The following is a 20,120-nucleotide window of genomic DNA, read 5'->3' as shown; positions in this document are numbered from 1 at the left end:
TAAATACAGTAACCCCCTATTTATCCATGGGGAATACATTCCAAGACCCCCGGTGGATGCCTGAAACCACAGATAGTATTGAACCTTATCTATACTACATCTTTTCCTATGTCTAGGATAAAGTTTAATTTATAAATTAGGCACAGGAAGAGATTAACAACAATAGCAAAGTAAAATAGAACAATTATAACAATAGGCTGGCATCACCACTCTTGTGCTTTGGGGCAGTTATTAAGTAAAGGAAGGGTTCCTTGAACGCACCTGCAATACCATGGCAGTGGATCTGGTAACCAAGACATCTGCTCAGTGACTAGCAGGATGGTAGCATCTACAGTGTGGGTACGCTGGACAAATGGATGATTCATGTCCTGGGCAGGATGGAGCTGGACAACGTGAGATTCCATCATGCTACTCAAACAGCATATAACTTAGAACTTAGGAAATGTTCATTTCTGGAATTTTTTGCTTAATATTTTTGGACTGTGGTTGATGGTAGGTAACCGAAATAGTGGAAAGTGAAACGGTGCATAAGGGGGGATAAGTGGGGACTACTGTAGTCTGGAAGTTACTTTGTTCACTCTGTGCTTTTCTGTGGGGCAGGATAGGTTGTGGAGCTAGGGAAGGGGAGTTTAACTAAGTCAGGACATTTTCACCTTTAGCTGTGGGTGTCACAGTGCCTAAAGGCTGCATTTCAAGACTTGTTAAACAAATTGGAGCCCTGCTTAACTTTTGAAGGGTTTGTCTCTGTAGTTTGAAAGCTTCCAGAAAGGCTGTAGGGGTGTGGTGGAGGCTCGCTGATGGTAACCACAGCTAAGATTGGCAACCTTGGAGGAGGCCCAGTCCATGAATCCCAGAGAGAGAGGTAGAGTAGGAGGCAAGAAGAGAAATTGAAGTGGAGAGCTAAGCACAAAAGCCACCTGCTGGCTTTTTCTCCACTGTTCTATCTCATCTAGAGCCCATTGTTAAATGTTTCCTGTAAAACCAAAATTCTCAGTGTAGAGCCCAGGTAGGAAACCCTTACTGAAATGCCATACACTCTCTGGTTAGCCCGAGGAGGTGGGGGAAACAACGAAAAGTGATTCCTCAGAATCAACCATTCTTCCTGTGGCGCGAACAGAGCTTCCAGCCTGAGACATTCAATCGATGGAACCACATTCCTGGCTCTCTCCTAAGACTAAACAAGGAATGACTTCTGAAGTGTTTACAATTCACTGGGACTTTCTTCCCTGTTCCTCCAGATTATTCTACTCTCTGTTACTCTCCCTATAACTAGAGCTCCACTTAGACATGGCCATTGGCACATACGCTGAGGAGACAGTATTTTTTGGTTTTTAAAGTATTCCTCAGTAGGCAGTTCCCGGTAGGCCTTGTAATCCTTTGTTTCTCCAAAGCAGAGATTCAAGAAGTTTGAAGACAGAATGAAGAAAGGGGTCATTATTTTCTCCCGTATTAAGGAGTTAAAACAACTCCTTAATATGCTGTATTTGTTAAAGCCAAGTCTTTGCAACATTCAGAGAATCATAAAAGGCATGGAAAAGACAGACGAATATCGTCTTAGGTCATTACCTCACAGTGTTCTTTAATTTGTTAGTCACTTGAAAACAGGCTGAGTTTTTTGGCTTCTAAATAGAAGGTGTGGCTGCTGCAATAGGCTTAATTTACAGGGATTATTTCAGAGACAAGGAGTCAGCCCAGACACAAAATAAACAGATGGCACTTTTTTTTTTTTCTCAGCTTCAGCAGTTCAAGTGCAGGATGACTTAGGAATCCTTATCACCTTCAGCAGAGCAAGAAGGGGAAGATGATGTAATTCTCTCTTCCCCACTCCCTATTGAAGGTGCCATTATTTCACCGATAGGGATAAAATATGGCAGCAAAGACCAGGGAAAAAATGACAGCAAGGAGCAGGGGCAGCTTTTTCTCTACTAGGCAGCCAAGTCCTGCACTGACCCCTCCAAGCTGACGAGTTGCAGGTATGTGTTGTGTTTTGATGATTCTAATCACCATAGCCCAGAGTCCTCAAATCAACCATCCAGAGAAGGACCACCCACAGAGCCCAGCTGTTCTATTAATGTATTAAATAGTTCCTCATTTTTTTAAGGAACACTTGTATTTTACCTGTTCTTTTAACAAATTAACAAGCAAACAATAAACCTACCACACCACAAAATATTAATCTTCTATATTCGTGAGCCCAAGTAGGTGAACAGATGTGATGGTATGGCAAGCTCTTCTAGGAAGAAATGGTTTGCTCAGGCATGCCGGCTTGGTGACTAAGCCCTGCCTTAAGATCTGTGCTGACATTTAAAGACTTTATGGGCTCAGCCTGCTCTGAAAACCAGCATCAGGTCTCTTTCCACCTCTAAATCCTTTCTGTGAAGGGAAAATTCATTCTGAAGCAAATATTCGTCAGGCTTGCACTCCTGCCAACCACTGACGCTGTTGTGGGGTATGTAATGAACGGTGAGCAAAGTATTAATAGATGCAACTCACCCTCATGGTGCTTACAATCTATAGGAAAGGTGACATTCAACAGCCATGCAGACACAAGTATGGCTGTAGCTAAAGGGGGGTTCCTACTTTAAATCTGGGTGTGTGAACAAAGGCTTCTCTGAGGAAGTAACATGTAAGGTGAAATCTGCACAGTAGAAAGGCACTGACTAGGTGGAGAGGTGTTGACTGGAGGGAGATAAGCATTCAAAGTGGAAGGAATTCCATACTTAAAAGGACCTGAGATCCCTAAGCAGGAAGAAGAGGTCTTTTAAGAACTTCCAGTAACTGAAGAGGAAACTGAAGAGCATGCAAGGATCAGGTCAGCCAGCAGTTGTAGGCCAGGTTAATGACTGGTCTCTACTTTGAGTGTGATGGAAGCCCGAGAGAGTCAGGCTTGTGTATCTGAATGAATGGGAATGCCATTTCCTGAGGCAGGGAACATTGGCGGAAGAATACATCTGGAGTTCAAAATCATGGAAGTTTTTGTTGTTGATATTCAATTTATATGCAATCTTCTTTGAATGCCTCTATTTGCCCCCATAACTGCTGAAATACATTTTCTTCTTGGCTTTACAACAACTAGGTGTCAGTCTCTCGGATAAGGAAAAAAAATGATTTGAGTTCCCTAAATGAGTGTTTTATAATGAGAGATTATTTAGGCACTGGGTGTATTTTATCCCTGAATGTATAGCCTGTCCTCTTGTCAGAGGATCAAATGCCCCTCACTAGGCATTCCAGACGGACCTTTGTGTCTCTGTCTTAGGAGCTGGCTTGCTGGCAGTGATACCTAGCATTGCAAAATCCTTCTTAAAGCCTTTGTTTAATGCCAGAGATCTCAAATGCTTTCAATTCTGGAGAGGTGCCAAACTGTGCTCCCGGATTAGGAGACGATGGAAGGACTCCTATAATCTATAAACCTCATATAAGCTTGCCATTTCAAATGAATGAATTGTTTAGAGTGTTGGAAGGAGTCCAGGGATACTTGAGTTCCTTTTTTAGCTATACAAATTTTGAGCTATTGGACTTTTATAATTACAGTCTAATTTCTGCATTATGATTTGTACTACTTTGAGGTGAACTTGTAAAAAATTCAGCCTGTTCCTTTTGCTGCCCTCTAGGACAAATCATGGCCATGGGCCGGTTTGTTTACTTGTAGCATTTTCTTATTTGTCTTTTATGTCAAAGACATTAGTGGGAAATGTTGGTTTTTGTGCACCATTTAGAGTAATACTCAGTTTCAATGCCTTAAAGCATTGCAGAGTGCATGACTGGGCAGGCGTGAATAGGTAAGTCCACAGTGTTGTGATTGCTAAAGTCCCACTTAAACATAAATGTGAATACTTTTACCATGAAGTACAAGATTATACCAAATTGTGGACAGTTTTTAAAAGTCCACGATGTTCTTTGGTCTGCCTCTCTCTCTGCTAGTCCGGCATTAGACTCGGAGGAGGTGTGCCCAGGTGGTGAACTGAGGATCATACAGAGCAGGAAAAATCTTTTTAAAGAGCTGGCCATGGTGAACTCCTGGGATTCCCAGCCTGCACCGCTGGTTTGTGGAGCCAGCCCCGTATTCTCCCTGGCGGTTCCGAAGCAGTCCCTGTTTGTGGTCAGAACTCCCTGCTGTTCCCAGCCAGCCCAGGCTGCGAGTGTTTTCACACGGCTCTGGCTCTGGTGATACAAAGGGCACGCAGTGCCAGCCATAACACTGAGTAATGCCGGGAGGTGCCTTCTAGAACAAACAATGTGGGTGAGCTCTGCAGAGAGGGAATACCTCTGGCTTGACATTTAAATTACTGAATTATTCAAATGAATGTCAATTAGGTGGAGTAGACTTTCTGCCTTCTGCCAGGGCACTTCCTGGATATTCGCACAGGCAAGTGTAAAATACTTTACATCAGATACGGTGCTTCCTGTCAGTACTGTTGAAAATCAGTCACAGAATCTGATTATCTGTTCCTTGGTGTTCCTTGATGTGTACTGTATTTATATCACAGCCTGAAAGATTAGGAGTCCACACACCCATACCTGTGGCCCTGAAAGGGGTTTTGTGATCATTCTCGAACCCCACCCCCACTCCCACACCAAATAAAATATCACAGGCCCACACATGTTATGCTTATTCCTAAATTTGACAAGACTGAAAAAGTGAGTCATGGACATTTGGAGTCCCGCTGTCTTCCTTAGAATTGTGGATATTAAGATCCGAGAATGCTATTACTACCTTGCTTTAAACCTTCTTTGTTGACTTCATAATTCTAGTTCAGAAAATACTTCCATCTACTCCACTCTGTCAGATGAAATTGCCAAGGTGGCACGTAGCGAATGTGAGTGTGTGCATGCATGTGTGTGCACCTGTGTGGTCATCCTGTCATTCTTATGAATTTAGGGTCTTCATTTATATTTGGGTATATATAAAAAATAAATACATGATGAAGGACTTTGCTAATTAGTTATATGGGAATATACAAAGTAAGAAGATTGAACAGTGGATGAGGAACAGAATAGGAAAGAGAAGTTAGTGAAGGTTTTGTACTTCCCTGTTAGCTGTTAGACTCAGCTCAGGGTTCTTTCATATCAGAGATTGAGTTAATTATTACGTATCATTAACAGTTGTCTTTCCTTGCCTTTTTCCCCAGTTGTGGAGGGTAGGTTATGAAAACCCTGGTATTTCACATCTTACTGAAAAGAATCACCAACTTACAGGCAGTTAATCCCTGGTTGTCCACATACAACTACAGGAAGTATATAAAGAATTTAAGGAGAGTGCTTAATAAACAGATGAATCTCTTTGATTTAGTTTGTGACCCTGCAGGATTAAAGCCTAGGTACACCACAGAGTTAGGTATAATGAGTTAAATTTTACTGAAGGTGATATTTACTTGAGGCTGTCACGTCTGGCAAACTCTTTAGGTTATAGTCCAAACGTCTGCCAGGCTCCCTGCACAGCCTGTCAAAAACTAGAGACCTTGGAAAAGCAGTGCCCCTTCCTGCATCTGTGTACTTAGAATTTAGTTTGGGATGGAACTTTAAAAACAGTTTATTTTGAGAGCACATTAGAGAAATGATTGTTGTTGTTACTTTATTTTTTTAAAATTTGGCATTTTTAAATTACAAGCATGGGTGTCCTTAATCCTTTGGTTCCCTGGACTGTCCGTTTAGGACCATTTAGGACCAATGATGAGCAGGCTCTCTTCTAGTCTAGCGTTGCTGGTTTATTGTTATTCTTAGCAGCCCATACGTTCAGCGAGCTGAGTAAATCATACTCGTCAATTCATTGTCAGTCCATGAACAGCTCTCTCCTACTTTATTTTTATTTTGCTCCTTCATCCCAGTGCTAACCCCTTATCCCCAAACCAGTGTCAACAGGCACATACTCTTCAATGGGTTAGGTATATATCCTGGGGTATCTATGATCTTTTAAAAGTACTCGGGATGTTAAAATACATGTTTGTGTTTCAAATTTACATAAATTGCATTATTTCAGGTTTAAGCATAGTCTTTTCAATTCTCTGCCATAGATCACAAGCAAATTAGTCTGACACCATGAACTCTCCCCCTCACTCCACCCATCCACTTCCCTCCAAAGAATCATCACCTGTTGGGCAGCATAGTTGGCAGCCCTCAGCCTGCTTTGTGCCATTCAAGAGTGGCAAGCATGTCTAGACTCCCTGGAAATATTATCCTTCAGCTCTCTTTTGGCAAGTGTAAACTTTTTGCTGGATTATGTCAACAGATATACATGTTTCTCATCCTCATAGAAATAGATTGGTGCTGGAATTTCCTTCGGATTTCTCCAGGCAAGGAACATAAAGACTATCTCTTTGCTCATTAAAACTTTTGCTCATTAAGAATGTTTGAGGGCTCTTGATTCTCAGGGGTGAGACTGGTGACATACATAGACTGTCAGCGGCTATTTTGGATTTTCTGCTTTCAGGCATGTCTTTGCTCTTGGATGAGCCCCTTGTGGTTTTCAAAGGAACTAGCAAGTCAATTATAAATAGAAGGCTGTGTCTGTGTGTCTGCATGCACTTACTCTGTGGGACGAGGCACCCACATTACAGTGGGCAGTGAACTATTTTTCCACTTCTTTGAAGAGGGAAGAAGAAAGATTAAGAATGCTTTTCTCTTTTTGAGATAACCCACATCTCTACACACACCCACACAAATCTGTGTAAATGAACTTGACATTTTCAAAGACCTTACCTTAAGGTCTCCTCTGGAAAGCACAGCCACCCAACCTGTTATTTTAAGAAAGAAGCATTTATCTCCTAGACCCACTACTGAGGGTTCAGGGATTAGAAGGCAGCCTCTATGTGCCATAGACCTTTGGAGGGAGCTCTGAAAGCTGAATTTCCTAATATGAACAGTGCTTCGGCAAAAGTGGCCTCAGCTAACTAATCAGTGGCCTCTAGGACTTGGCTGTTTACATTTTATCCTCTGTTTCCTTCCCCACTAGTAGAAACTGTGGGACCAGCAAGTCTAAACTAATCATACTGACAAGGGAAGAGAAAAGAGTAATGTGAAAATGCAGATGCAAATAAGTATTCTCAGAAAGAGACAATTAAGCAGAGTGATTAGATGTGCTTCCCTGATCATCCGTTTCTGCCTCTTTCCATTGCACCTTGAACTCCCTAGGTGTGTATTCTTCCAGTGGTCCCACCTGTCACCTTACTGTTCAAACATTATTCGGTTCTCTTGGTCTCCTTGTGCCCTCATTCTCCATATTTGGCACCATTTTTTTCCTGCCAGCCAAAAATTCTTAAGCAGGTGTTAATTCCCACTATAATCTATGTAAACTTTAGTGTTACCACTAGTGAAAAAGTTAGTCTAGGCATCTAGCTGGAAATATTGGTACCATGGATTGTAATTATAGATTGTACAGCCTTGCAAACTCTTATTATATTACAGGTTGAACATCTCAAATCCCAAAACCTGATACTTGAACTGCTCTGGAATCCAAACCTTTTTTAGCATTGACCCAATGCTCAATAGAAATGCTCATTGGAGCATTTTGAATTCTGGATTTTTGGATTTGAGATGCTCAGCCAGGATAAATACAACTATTCCCCAATCCAGAAAAATTTTTAAATTTGAAACTTTTCTGGTCTCAAACATTTCGAGTAAGGGATACTCAGTTTGTAGTATATTTCTGCCATGTACCTGCAAGAATGTCAGCATTCCTTGTTTTACGAGTTGATGGGGATTTGTACAGAGCTAGCAAAAATTAGTATTAATAGCTGCCATATATTTAGGAGCTTTTTTTTTGGAATAGAATAAAGGTGATAAACATTATGTTCCAGTAAAACATTTTATTTTGATGCAGTAATTGGGATCTTAGAGCCAATCACGCTGAAGGTTATATGAACACCACAGGGGGAGAAGCTCATTTTCAGAAGTCTGTGGACAGATGATAGCCAGTCTTTGTCCTAATATGATCTAAAAGGGTGCACAGCTTATATAAATGAATCGCTATGTTGAGAGGCAATTATTATTTGTTGGTTGGTTAGGTGACAAGGTGACAGAATGTGGACCTCATGGTTGATGGTGATGCTTAGCTTGACTTTCTGTTGATAGAGGTGTTTGGAATGGTCATTCCCTCAATGAAGGTGAAACTCATACGGTAATTCCTCTTTTTTTTTTTTTTCCCCTTCCTTTCTCTCCTTTGCAGATGAGAAGCCCAAGGTCAACCCCAAACTCTACATGTGTGTGTGTGAAGGTCTCTCCTGCGGTAATGAGGACCACTGTGAAGGCCAGCAGTGCTTTTCCTCACTGAGCATCAACGATGGCTTCCACGTCTACCAGAAAGGCTGCTTCCAGGTTTATGAGCAGGGAAAGATGACCTGTAAGACCCCGCCGTCCCCTGGCCAAGCCGTGGAGTGCTGCCAAGGGGACTGGTGTAACAGGAACATCACGGCCCAGCTGCCCACTAAAGGTTCCCATGGACTTTTCTATTTCTAGATCAAGGGGTTTTGTTAGTGTTGTCCTGGGTCCGTGTGGGTTAAAGATCTAAGTAGCTATGAGGCATTCCACCTACATTTTGAATCAGAGGCGAAGAGCTACAAGGAAGGTCACCCTGGGTGAAGAAGAGAAAGGAACAGCCTTTTGGCATCTAAAAGAAGGATGGGCATTTTGGGGAATGTAAGCAAGGTGATGTCCATCTTGGGGACAGCTTAGCTGACCAGTTAGCTTTCTCTTGGTTGCTGTGACTCAGGTGAACAGCTCCCAATACCTTTTTATGTTACTGACCCATGATGTCATTCATAATTTCTGAAACAATTCTGCTAGTAAATACTCATCTCTGTGTCAAGTGTGTAGGGAGGAAAACAGAACGGACTGGTGACTGAGTGGAATGCCTTTCCTGTTTTATGAGGAAGGAGATAAAAGAAGGCTCACTGACCTCTTCTCCCATATCTGATGCCCAGTGACCCTATCACTGAAATTTGAAGCAGGATGAGATTTCGCACAAACCCTGTAGTTTTTGTGGAATCTTCTCTCTACCATCAGTACAGATTGCATATGCTAAGGAAACCAGTCCAGCTCTGAAACTGTTTCCCTATTAAATGAGCCCTAAATTGCAATCTTAAAGTCTCTGCAAACATTTATGTAAACTCATTCCAAGCCAAATTTATTCTCTTACCATATAGTACATTTTTAATAGGTTTAGTTATTTAATTTTGCACTCAGAAAAAAGAAACAAACCAAAAAGTGGAGGAGAGGTAACGACGAGCATCCAAAACTAGAAATGTCAGCCAGCAAGAAAGGAGGCAGAAGAACAAAAAAGCTGATGCAAGATCATGTTCTAGTAATTTTGAAGTTATGGTGATGACTTTAAGGCATATGGAAAAGGTTAAATTCTGACAAGCAAATAGGATTGAATAATCAAAGAGGGTTTTAAAGGAGATCAAGTATTTACATGGTTAAAACTAAAAGGGTCCTTGATGGAATAAAATTTACTGTTATACTTTGTGAGTTAAATTTTTATTAATTGGGTGGATGGACATAAACAAATGTCTGAATTCATACAAACATTATTATACCAACTGTGAAGTTTCTAATCTGCAGATCACTCTGCTAGACCTTGAGTTTTAATAGAAGATTTTTTTTTTTGAATTTAAGGACATTCTAATCTGATTAGCGTGGCCACAGTATTTATAATTCAGCGTTGCATTTTGTTAGTTTTACACTTTCTCATGCAAATGACATATGCCATGGAGTATGATGTATGCCAAGCTGTTGATTAGTTGGGCTTGGAAAGTTAAACAAATACGTAAAGGAAGTTAAGCTTGTGATTGGATGGCTGAAGAGACCAGTAATATGGAAATGGGTAAGGCCTCTGTAGGGAAGAACAGGGCCTGATGACATAATGTCATGGAGAGGTCTGAACCCAGGGAGTGAATCAGTGAATGAATGTCTGAATAAGCGAGTAAATGAAGAGAGGAATGAATGGGTTCCTAGGCAGAAATTGTGATGTAAAAAAATCAGTGAGAAACCAGCAGTAGACACCCAGGATATATTAAAGACAGAGACCACAGATGGGTAATTTGGTTTTAGCTCAGGTAGCCCTTTCTCTTAAGGATAGTACAGTGTCTGTAAGGGCTTGATGGCGAAACATACCAAATCCAAGTTAATGAGAGTAATATCAAAGATTTGTACAGTACTTTATATTTTAAAAGCACTCTCACATTCATACATTAATGCAATTGATTCTCAGTGGAATTTTTTCAAATTCTAGTTGTGTCTAATTGAATGATGGTTAAAATGTCTGGGCCATTGGCCAGGCATTAGGAAGTGTTTTAGTTTTAATACTTCGTGAGTTGTGAGACTGTGTGGTCAGGATCAGGAGCTACTTGTTAGGATATTGGTTATGCTAATAATAAGTAAGCAGTGATCCTTACAACTAATTCCCCCTTTTCCCTCCAACTCCAGGAAAATCCTTCCCTGGAACACAGAATTTCCACTTGGAGGTTGGCCTCATTATTCTCTCTGTAGTGTTCGCAGTATGTCTTTTAGCCTGCCTGCTGGGAGTTGCTCTCCGAAAATTTAAAAGGCGCAACCAAGAACGCCTCAATCCCCGAGACGTGGAGTATGGCACTATCGAAGGGCTCATCACCACCAATGTTGGAGACAGCACTTTAGCAGTAAGTCATGACCCCACAGGAAATCCCAAGCATAAGGAAGGTGTCTGGAGACACGTTCTTATTTCGAGCATGAAACGCTAACCAGTAATGAGTGACTGAACAGTGTACACACATGCTGTTGGTTACTTATGTCCTAAACAAGCACATGCTGGCACCTGTGTAGTCTTCCCATATCAGAACAGCCATTTTAGATAGACATTTAAATAAGGGATGGGATTTATTTTAGTAGTGTTGGTAGTTAGTTACTTTTCTCTGAGGGGTAAAGCAAAAGAGACAGAGAATGGTTGCCTACAGTTTTGGAGGGTTGGAATTTGTGGTCTTCAGTTACTCTATTTTTAGCCATAAAAGTGCTCCTTTAAAAAGGCACCTTTTGCTGAATATTAAATATTAATTTCCTTTCTAGATTATTTCAGCATCCTGTAATTTAAGGCTTAAAAACTTGACATCCAAAAAAGCAGCTTTTAAATTTTGTATGCTCCTGTGGTGCCCTCTTGTGGAGTGCAGTCATTTGGTTAAACCGGTGTTGTCCAATAGAAACATGTGCATCACATGTAATTTAAAATTTTCAAGTAGCCACCTTAAAAACAAACACATGAAAAAACCCAAAAAGTTTCGTAAAAGTAGATTTAATTTTAACAGATATTCAACCAAATACATACCATCTTTGTCATTTCAACGTATAATCGATTAAAAAATTATTAATGTAAATTTTACATTCTTTTTGCTTTTGAAGTAAATTTTCAAAATCTTGTGTGTATTTTACACCTATAGCATATATCAATTCACACCAGCCACAGTTTACTTGCTCATGGCAATGTGTGGCTAGTGATTAACCCGCTGGACTGCACAGTGTTAGAAACTATTGTATTTATACATTAAAAAATTATTCTTTTGCATATTTTTAAATGATAAAATCACATTAAAAAATGACTATCTCCTTCTATTTACCTTTTAAAATTGCTTACCAAGTGTTCATTTTAAAGACGCTTTGAACTTTAAGTGGGGAAAGGGTATCACTTGCTCTAAATAGAAGGTTATCATAAAGTGCAAAAGAAAAAATAATAACATTCTGCATGGATATTATGCTGAGTCTGATGCCTACTCTGAAAAATTTGAGATTTGTGGGTGTTAAGTGAGTGCAAGAGACATGCCAATACCAATTTGAGACTCCTTGTCACAATCCGATTAATTGAAAGACAATCAAAGTAATAACTTTCTAATGTGATTCAGTTTTACTTAATGCCATTGCCCATGTGTATTTGAAATCATTTTGCAGTAAGTCTTGTTCTGCTAGACAGCAAGCTTCAAAGTGTCTGATAGTTCTGCAGTTACACTTGCCCTGCAGCTCCCCTTATGCTGGAGAAGACTTCCCCTCACCAGTGACCATCTGGGTAGCACAGATGCTACACCTGGACAATTGCAGGACCCACCTGTGGCAGGTTGTCACAGACATTTGGTAGTGCCTGATATGGGCTGGGAAACATCCCATTCTACTGCCTGCCCCATCCATCACTGGGCCACTTTTTGGTATGTAAAAGGGGGAAGTAACCTTCTGTAGCTTCCATTTACCTACTGTTTAAACTGTGGTACAGTGGAACTGGGGAAAGAGAATGCAGTATAAGGACATTTCATTTCAAAAAGTAGAGAAATACAATTTTTTTTGTTAGATATATACTTAGAAGTCTATTTCAAGCTTTAAGGAAAATTAAATGAGTTTATTGAGTTAGTAGCAAGAAGATGTGAGGATGAATCCTGACAAAGCTTTAGCAAAGCAAGATTCTAAAATAGGTTAGTTAGAACTTCATTCCTCAGAGCTGCTAACATAACTAATTACCAAGGGCAATAATAGGAATATCTGGTATAAATTACTGTTTAAATGGCTTTTAGAATTTTGAGAGAGGAATGGAGCATATGCCAAAATAGTCCTTTAAACTCAACCATGTCATGTGACAGTGTATCATGATATAATAACACAGTAAAGAACACTATTTAAAACAAGTTGTCATTATTGGTCTACATACTTGCTTATTTAAGCAATATGCTCATTTGTATGTTTCAACAAAGCATGCCCTTACTAAACAGCACGTCTACATTGAAAAACAAGCCTTGGCCATGCATGGTGGCTCATGCCTGCAGTCCCAGCACTTTGGGAGCCCAAGGGGGAAGATCACTTGAGACCAGGGGTTAGAGACCAGCCTGGGCAATATAGTGAAACTCTGTCTTGAACTAAAGAAAAGAAAAGAACAAAAAGAAGGCTTGGCATCTGAGAGTTGGGATATACGTTTGTTAGTCTTGGGTTGATTTTTTATTTTTCTTTCCTTAGGTCTGTGAACAGGGTTTAGAAGCAGGATCATACATTATGGAAAAAATAACACATTAGTTTAATTTTCAGAATTATTCTTCTCGAAAAAGAATGAATGAATAAGGAGCAAAAAGAACCGCAAGAGAGAAAATGGTTAGGGAGATATGAAACTCTGCTTCATCTACACTCATTTTCTTGTTGATTATCCCTTTTGTGGTTTTTAAGGGTTCTAAATTTCTTCCGTTGGATGCTCAGCTTTTGGTAATTTTGCCGATCAACAGTACTTCACAGTGGTGCTCAGAAGAAGTGAAAGAAGATGAAATTCACACAAATCAATGTATTGCTTTAGTAGGCCAGCCAAAATGTTTGGGAAAGGATGAGCTTTGGGGAATATTAAGTCAATATTACTGCAACTCTACCTTTATCACCCATCGGCACAATATTGTTTATTACAGATAATCTATGCCTGATACCTGCTTCTTGGCTTATGCTGAGAGTAAGAAGGAAAACCTTATCAATGAACTAACTGGGAATCTTTTTGCCAACACCTTCATTTGTAGACATTGACTTGGGGCACTGGTTTTATGTTTTCAATGAAAGCTTTATTTGTTTTCTTTTCTGATTTGTGAGTGATTCACATTAAGAAATGATAAGTAGGTGTTGATATAGTTTTGCTCCTCACCTGCCTAAAAGGAAACCTCCATCCAGGCAGCCCGTTGCTGCCTGCGCTTACCAATTTAATGATCCACATGGTCATTGGAGTCTTTTCGTTACAAATCACATTAGAGTTGTTTGTTCCTTATTCCTAGTTTGTTTGTTCCTAATTAGAGTTCCTTAGTTGGTATGGCAACTAAAGTGAATCATTTGACAGATACTTAGTGAGAATAGCAAAATATGTAAATTATACCCAGTTCTTGAAGTTGAAAGGACCCCCCCCACCCTTTTCTGTTCCACCTGCTATTCTCTCTACTGCTTTCCTTGAGATCATATCTGCTTCTTGGGCTTTCTGATTTACACCTTCAACTTTGTCTGCTCAGCTTCTTTCATTATATATTTTATTTGGAAACTCTGTGTATAAGAAAGGACTACTTATCCTTCGGGAAAACCTATCATATATTAGGTGAAGTGCTAGCTTCTAGTATTCCGAAGAAATAAAACTTTTCCTGGCCAGGCGTGGTGGCTCATGCCTGTAATCCCAGTGCTTTGGGAGGCCAAGGCAGGCAGATCACCTGAGGTCAGGAGTTTGAGACCAGCCTGACCAACATGGAGAAACCCCGTCTCTACTAAAAATACAAAATTAGCCGGGCGTGGTGGCGCGTGCCTGTAACCCCAGCTACTTGGGAGGCTGAGGCAGGAGAATCACTTGAACCCGGGAGGTGGAGGTTGCAGTGAACCCAGATTGCGCCATTGAACTGCAGCCTGGGCAACAAGAGTGAAACTCCGTCTCAAAAAAAATAAAAAATACAAAACAATAAAACCAGTCCTTCTTCCTTCTTCCAGAGGAGCTTTACATGTACACTAACAGGCCACGTGTCCCGGATTGCTGCCCTTCATGTGAGTTACAATGTCATGCATGCTAATACTCCAAAGTGGGAGCTATATTGCTCAATCGTTTCTTTTCCCCCTTGTCTTAAACCACAGGATTTATTGGATCATTCGTGTACATCAGGAAGTGGCTCTGGTCTTCCTTTTCTGGTACAAAGAACAGTGGCTCGCCAGATTACACTGTTGGAGTGTGTCGGTAATTCTTTTTTTTCCTTTCTTTGTGGGTAATATGCAATGTTAGTTTTGTTTTTGAAGTAAAAGATGGAACTTGGAAAATCTGCTTTTTGTTACCTGTTGTTTCCTTATTAAACTTATGAGATGTGGTCTCTATTCTGTATGACTAATGTTGGAGCACCTGAACTTGTTTAAGCTCTTATCAAAGGAGTCCATCACTAATGAGTACAGAGAATGCAGAGTCAAAAGCTTTCAGTTGTAAGTGGACCCTTTGGGATGATGAGAGAATGCCCAAAAAATGAATTGATATGGTTGCTCCTTACCATAGGTATTGGATACTCTGAAGTAAGTAGGCTTTTGGACAATGAACTTCTTTATTGCAATTCTTTAATTCCTCTCATTCTTTTCTTCTTTTTAATGGCAATAATTAATGAACATAATTAATGAAACCAATTCTAGCAAAGGGATCTTTATAACTCCTTTATTTAAATATGAGCTATATACATTTCTCCATGGCCTCTCACATTTTCCCAATACATGAACATATTTGTATGTAGACATAATCATGTTGTATATATAATTTATGTCCCTTTTTTCAGTTTTAAGCTCATAAACATTTCATGTGTTTGTACACATCACAAATATTTTTGAAGATTATGTAGCAGTCCGTGGAATGATAGTGTAACTATAACCATACTGCTTGAAAAAGATTTTGCACACATTGCTTCTTTCTTTTGAGTTCTCAGAAAAAATTCCCAGGAACTGGGGGTTCCTGGGTCAAAATTTGTAAATGTTTTTTACAGCTTGTTTTATATGCTGCTGATTGGCTCTCTTGGAAGATGGTACAAAGTGCCTATTTCCTGATTTTTGTTAGCTTTACTTTTATGTGGTAGGTATTTGCAAGTTCCATAATCATTTTCCTAAGTTTCTCTTTTAGACGGCTTGCAGGGATGGCTGCAGTAGCAATAATGGGTTGGCAACCTCTCCACACCCTCCTCCTAGTGCTCATGGTTTCCGAGGGCTGGATTTTGCAGCTCCTGCCGTTGCATCTTTTGCTTTTGGGAGGTGACCTATAAGCTGCCCCCACCACTTGGCTGCTGTTCTCCAGATTTTCTTCTTGTTTTCATGGAAAGAGGGACACCCCCAGTCTGAGTAGTAGAAACGGGGAAGGGCAGAGGTAGGAAGAGCAGTGGCTGCTGCCCCAAGGCACAGGAGTAACCAGCGGGAGCTTGGTTGTCCTTTCTCTAGGTCTACGGCTATTGTCACTGTTTGCTGCTTCTCGCTTCTCCTCCACGGCAGATTGTGAATGGAGAAAATAAAGATGGAAAAGCCCCAAATGTGCTCATTAATTTCAACCAGAGTTGTCCTCTTGTACTAACTAGTATCTTATTTGATTATGAACAAGATTATCTGGATAGTGGTGGGAAGACATTGAAGGGGTACATTTCCCTGTCTCATCTCCCCTCTCCACTACTATTCCATGCAAGCTATCTCAAGATTAGTCTTCAGAGATTGGCTCCAGAGTCCAAATGGCAAAATAGTAATGCACCTTTAAAGTATGTAGTTTCTGGTTCTATAGATATTCCTCAGCATTCTTTTGAAACAGTATAAATATCATTATTGCATTTTCTTGGGTTAGGACTAAAGACTTTAATAAAAGCAGTGCCTTTCATTAGCTTGTAGTTAGTGTGTTCATGTGGTACAGCTTTTAGTAAAAATATATGTGATGAACTGCATGGATGGTATGTTATTTTTGGTTCAAAAACATGGGAAGTTGGGTTAGGGGAGTCATTTCTGGATGACGATCAGTGAAACTACAAATTTCAGGTGCCTTAAGGGAGCCTTTTTGTGGGGCTCCATGGCCAGGGCTTTTGGGCAGCTCTGCTTTTGTTTTAGGGGCTTCTGCATAATGATGAATTTGCAAAAAGCATTTAACAACTTAAAAGCATTTGAAAACCATTGAACAATATTTCTATTTTAATTTACCTACCTCGACATTCATCTTCTGTTTTCTTTAAAACAACAACCAAAAAAAGGATTTGAGGTAATTTTGTATCCATAATTCCCTGGGATATTTTGCTCTCATCCCTAATGACAAAATGAGGACAAAGGGAAAATAAAGATACAAAACAGAACCAAAGGCAGGAAAAGATTAGCATACCATTTTCTGGCAGCCAGTATTTGTAGTATCTTAGCACTAGGCCTCATCTTGAGCTATAAATGCTGGCAAATTGCTATGGCTTTATTAAAAGGAATCGTGTACTAAATTATATTTGTGTGACCCAACAGTGGCCCACAATGAGCACTTGTTAGCCACATTGAACATCCTTTTGGGTTAGTTGTTGGTATTTAATAGGGACATGATATTCTTGTCAGGTAATCTAGATTTAGTGGTTGTGATTATGATTCAGGTGTGTCTCCTGGACAGAACTGCTTCTCTCTCCATGTTTGGGTTTTCAGTGACTTAGTGTTCCAGCAAAGAACTGTATTCCTGTATATGCAGGTGGTGCTGCAGCTGCTTATTAGAAGCTGTGTGATTCCAGCAGTCACTTGCCTGGGTAGAAAGCCCCACTGCCCTGCAAGTTATATCTCTTGCCTTGTTATCTAGGCTGATTATACCCCTTGTTGATCCTCATAGTCTTGTGGTAATTACCTCCTCCTCCAACCTCCCTGATCACCCCTACCTATAATTAAAGAGAAGAATGGAAGAGGGAGCATGTAGTTGACAAGCTGACAAGTGTGTTGCTGCTGCAAGAGGGGGCCATGCACCAAACAGATTAGATCACAAGTAGAGTTGCCACGTTTTCCAAAATGTATTCTCCAAGTAGCCTTTTCAGTGTAGCCCACTTGTAGCATCACAGGAGCTGTCTGACAAACAAATACCCATGACCAGTATCAGAAGAAGTCAGAACTCTTCTGGGATTATGTATTTAAGACTTTGCAAATCCTCTTTTTGAAATACATCTTCCGCCAAGAAATCTTTATGGATGCAGTGGCTGCATGTCGATCTTCTAGCAGCATTGTGTTTTGGTTTGTTTTTGTTTTTTAATCCTTAGAACACACATTTTAAACTTAATTGTTCTCCTTTGTGGAAAAAATGCATATCTAAATTCACCAATTTGGACAGTGCCTATGTTGATCCTGTGTGAAGGGAAGGAACCAAGGAAGGAATTCAGTTTACTGATGTACACTTTTTTGGCTTTCAGAACACAATTGAAATTTAATAATCTGTACCATTTCCTAAGTTTTACTTTCATGTGTTTTAAAAGTCATATGCATTTTATACCTTTCAACAGAGGAATTTAAATGTAAACTGAGTAATTAGCAGCTAATTATACAATGCAGATACAGAAGGCAGTTTGTTATCACAATATGGTAGATGAGAGGGGCAGCTTCCACCTTATTTTTGTATGTCTTTATAGGCCAAAAAAAATAAAAAATAAAGGTTGTGATATTTATATTCCCAAGCTGAGTTTCTCCAGTAAGCAATGGAGGGATTAAGAGTTGCATGCACTAAATTAATTATTCTTAATGATGGGCTGGCTGCCTCCAAAATGACTACTGTTCTGTGTCACCTATGTTTTGCTTTTCATAGGGAAAGGCAGGTATGGTGAGGTGTGGAGGGGCAGCTGGCAAGGGGAGAATGTTGCCGTGAAGATCTTCTCCTCCCGTGATGAGAAGTCATGGTTCAGGGAAACGGAATTGTACAACACTGTGATGCTGAGGCATGAAAATATCTTAGGTAAGTACAAGGATAACCCCCTCATTAATTGTATCTAGGGAGAAACAATTGTCTGCCTTTGCTCTCTCCGTTTTGGTGAATGTGAATTCGAGAGTGTCTCCTAAAAAGCAATATAGGGATCCTTAGCATTTATATGCTGTTTAATTTTCTCAAACACCAGTTTCTTATTTAAATCTGCAAATAAGTTTAAGACTCTCTGGATGATGAAAAGGAAATCCACTAGTGCTAATTCTTATTCCTACATCTGCAGATCGTTATTTAAATAACAAAAATTTGCCCCATATTGTTCACTTCAAGGCTCATTGGTTGTTCTACTCACCCCACCCTTTTTGAATATTTATTACTTGAATCAAACTAAGAAAGATCTTTGGACTATTTCCTAGAGATTCACAGCTCCCAGGGATATCGTAATTAAATGCACATTCCCTCAAACTAGGCATCATTTTTAAAACCCAGATTTGCAGAGGGATTCAGGATACATTTTAATTTAGAAACTAAAGCTTAGCAACATTTGTGAAATATGTAAAGTGCCCGTTGAAATACTGCTATGGCAGTATAAAGGGTGAGCACACTCCTTAGGCCCATTGACTTCTGTATTTTTGAAAAGTTTCTCTAAGTGTGTTTATACTGATACATGTATGGTGAATGCTGCCTGGAGTGCTTCTTCAATAGTGGATATAAAGTTTATATAGAATTTAACTCTGTATAGGATAGTGTTGGCCACCTTATGGCTATTGGATTAGGTCTGGCTCATAGGAAGGCCATTGCCAAAATTTATTTCTATTTTAGCACTGCCAATTTAGTATTTAAATGAGTCAAGTTGTCTGCAAATAATGATTTGACAGTTGTCCAAAGCTTCAAAGCTTTGCTTCCGTGGTGTGGTGGTGATGTTCCATCTCAAAATTTTTTCAGTTTCTGTAGTTGATTTCTCACTTTTGCTTACCCATCGGGTCCTAGTCATCACTTAATCCTCCTCACCTCAGCTGTCAGCTTTCCCTTTCCAATTCATCTCTCCACTTGGAGTTGTCTTCCACTGGGGAGCAGAGATCATTCTGTTCAGTGTCTTTGATGGCTCCCAAATTTCCTGCAACACTTGTGACTGGTATTCAAGACTCCCTGGTTTGGGGCTCCCAGGAATCACTTAACCATCCTTTACAAGTATGCCCCATTCAGTTACTACTAATACTGACCATTCCTTGAGATCGCCACAAACATTTAGGTCTCACTGTCCTTTCTCAGGTTGCTCTTGATCACTCACTATCCTTTTCACATCCTCCAACCATTCCTTCCTCCGTCAAAACCTCTTGGCCCCTTTTAGTTTTGCCCAGTGGAATTAATTGTGCTTTTCTGCATTCCCCGACTTTGTACCTCTGCTCTAACTCTTACCACACACTGCCTTGTGTTGCAGTTAAACGTCTCTGTGTAACAAGAATAGCAACAGTAGTAACAATAAACATGCAATGGATCATTACTACGCGGTAACCACAGGTGCATTATGTGCATTTTGTTACAGAATCTTCACCATGACCATAAGAGAATAGGTACTCTCATTTTCCCAGTTTTAAATGTTGAGGTAACCAATATACAGAGAGGTTAAATAGTGGAGGTGGAAATTACATCAGGCAGCCTAACTCTTAACCACAGTTTTGTACTCAAAACACAAACATTCTATAAAAGTACTCTAGAATCATGAAGCAAAGGTAGTTATATAATTCACGCTTAAGAG

General features: G+C 40.0%; 1 protein-coding gene across 7 annotated transcripts in view; it reads left to right on the top strand.

The window, feature by feature from the left end:
* The window catches only part of ACVR1 (activin A receptor type 1), a 139,885-nt gene that overhangs the window by 87,569 nt on the left and 32,196 nt on the right, over positions 1-20,120 (top strand). For all 7 annotated transcript variants that reach the window (NM_001111067.4, NM_001347665.1, NM_001347664.1 and 4 more), the window contains 4 exons: positions 8,162-8,425; positions 10,420-10,631; positions 14,575-14,674; positions 18,248-18,394. In NM_001111067.4, the coding sequence (NP_001104537.1) occupies positions 8,162-8,425; positions 10,420-10,631; positions 14,575-14,674; positions 18,248-18,394 (723 nt within the window). The remainder of the gene's footprint in view (positions 1-8,161; positions 8,426-10,419; positions 10,632-14,574; positions 14,675-18,247; positions 18,395-20,120) is intronic.

Source organism: Homo sapiens, chromosome 2, assembly GCF_000001405.40.
Source record: "Homo sapiens chromosome 2, GRCh38.p14 Primary Assembly".
NCBI classification, from domain to species: domain Eukaryota; kingdom Metazoa; phylum Chordata; class Mammalia; order Primates; family Hominidae; genus Homo; species Homo sapiens.
Note: the sequence above shows the minus strand (reverse complement) of the source record. Positions and strands in the feature narration are given on the sequence as shown.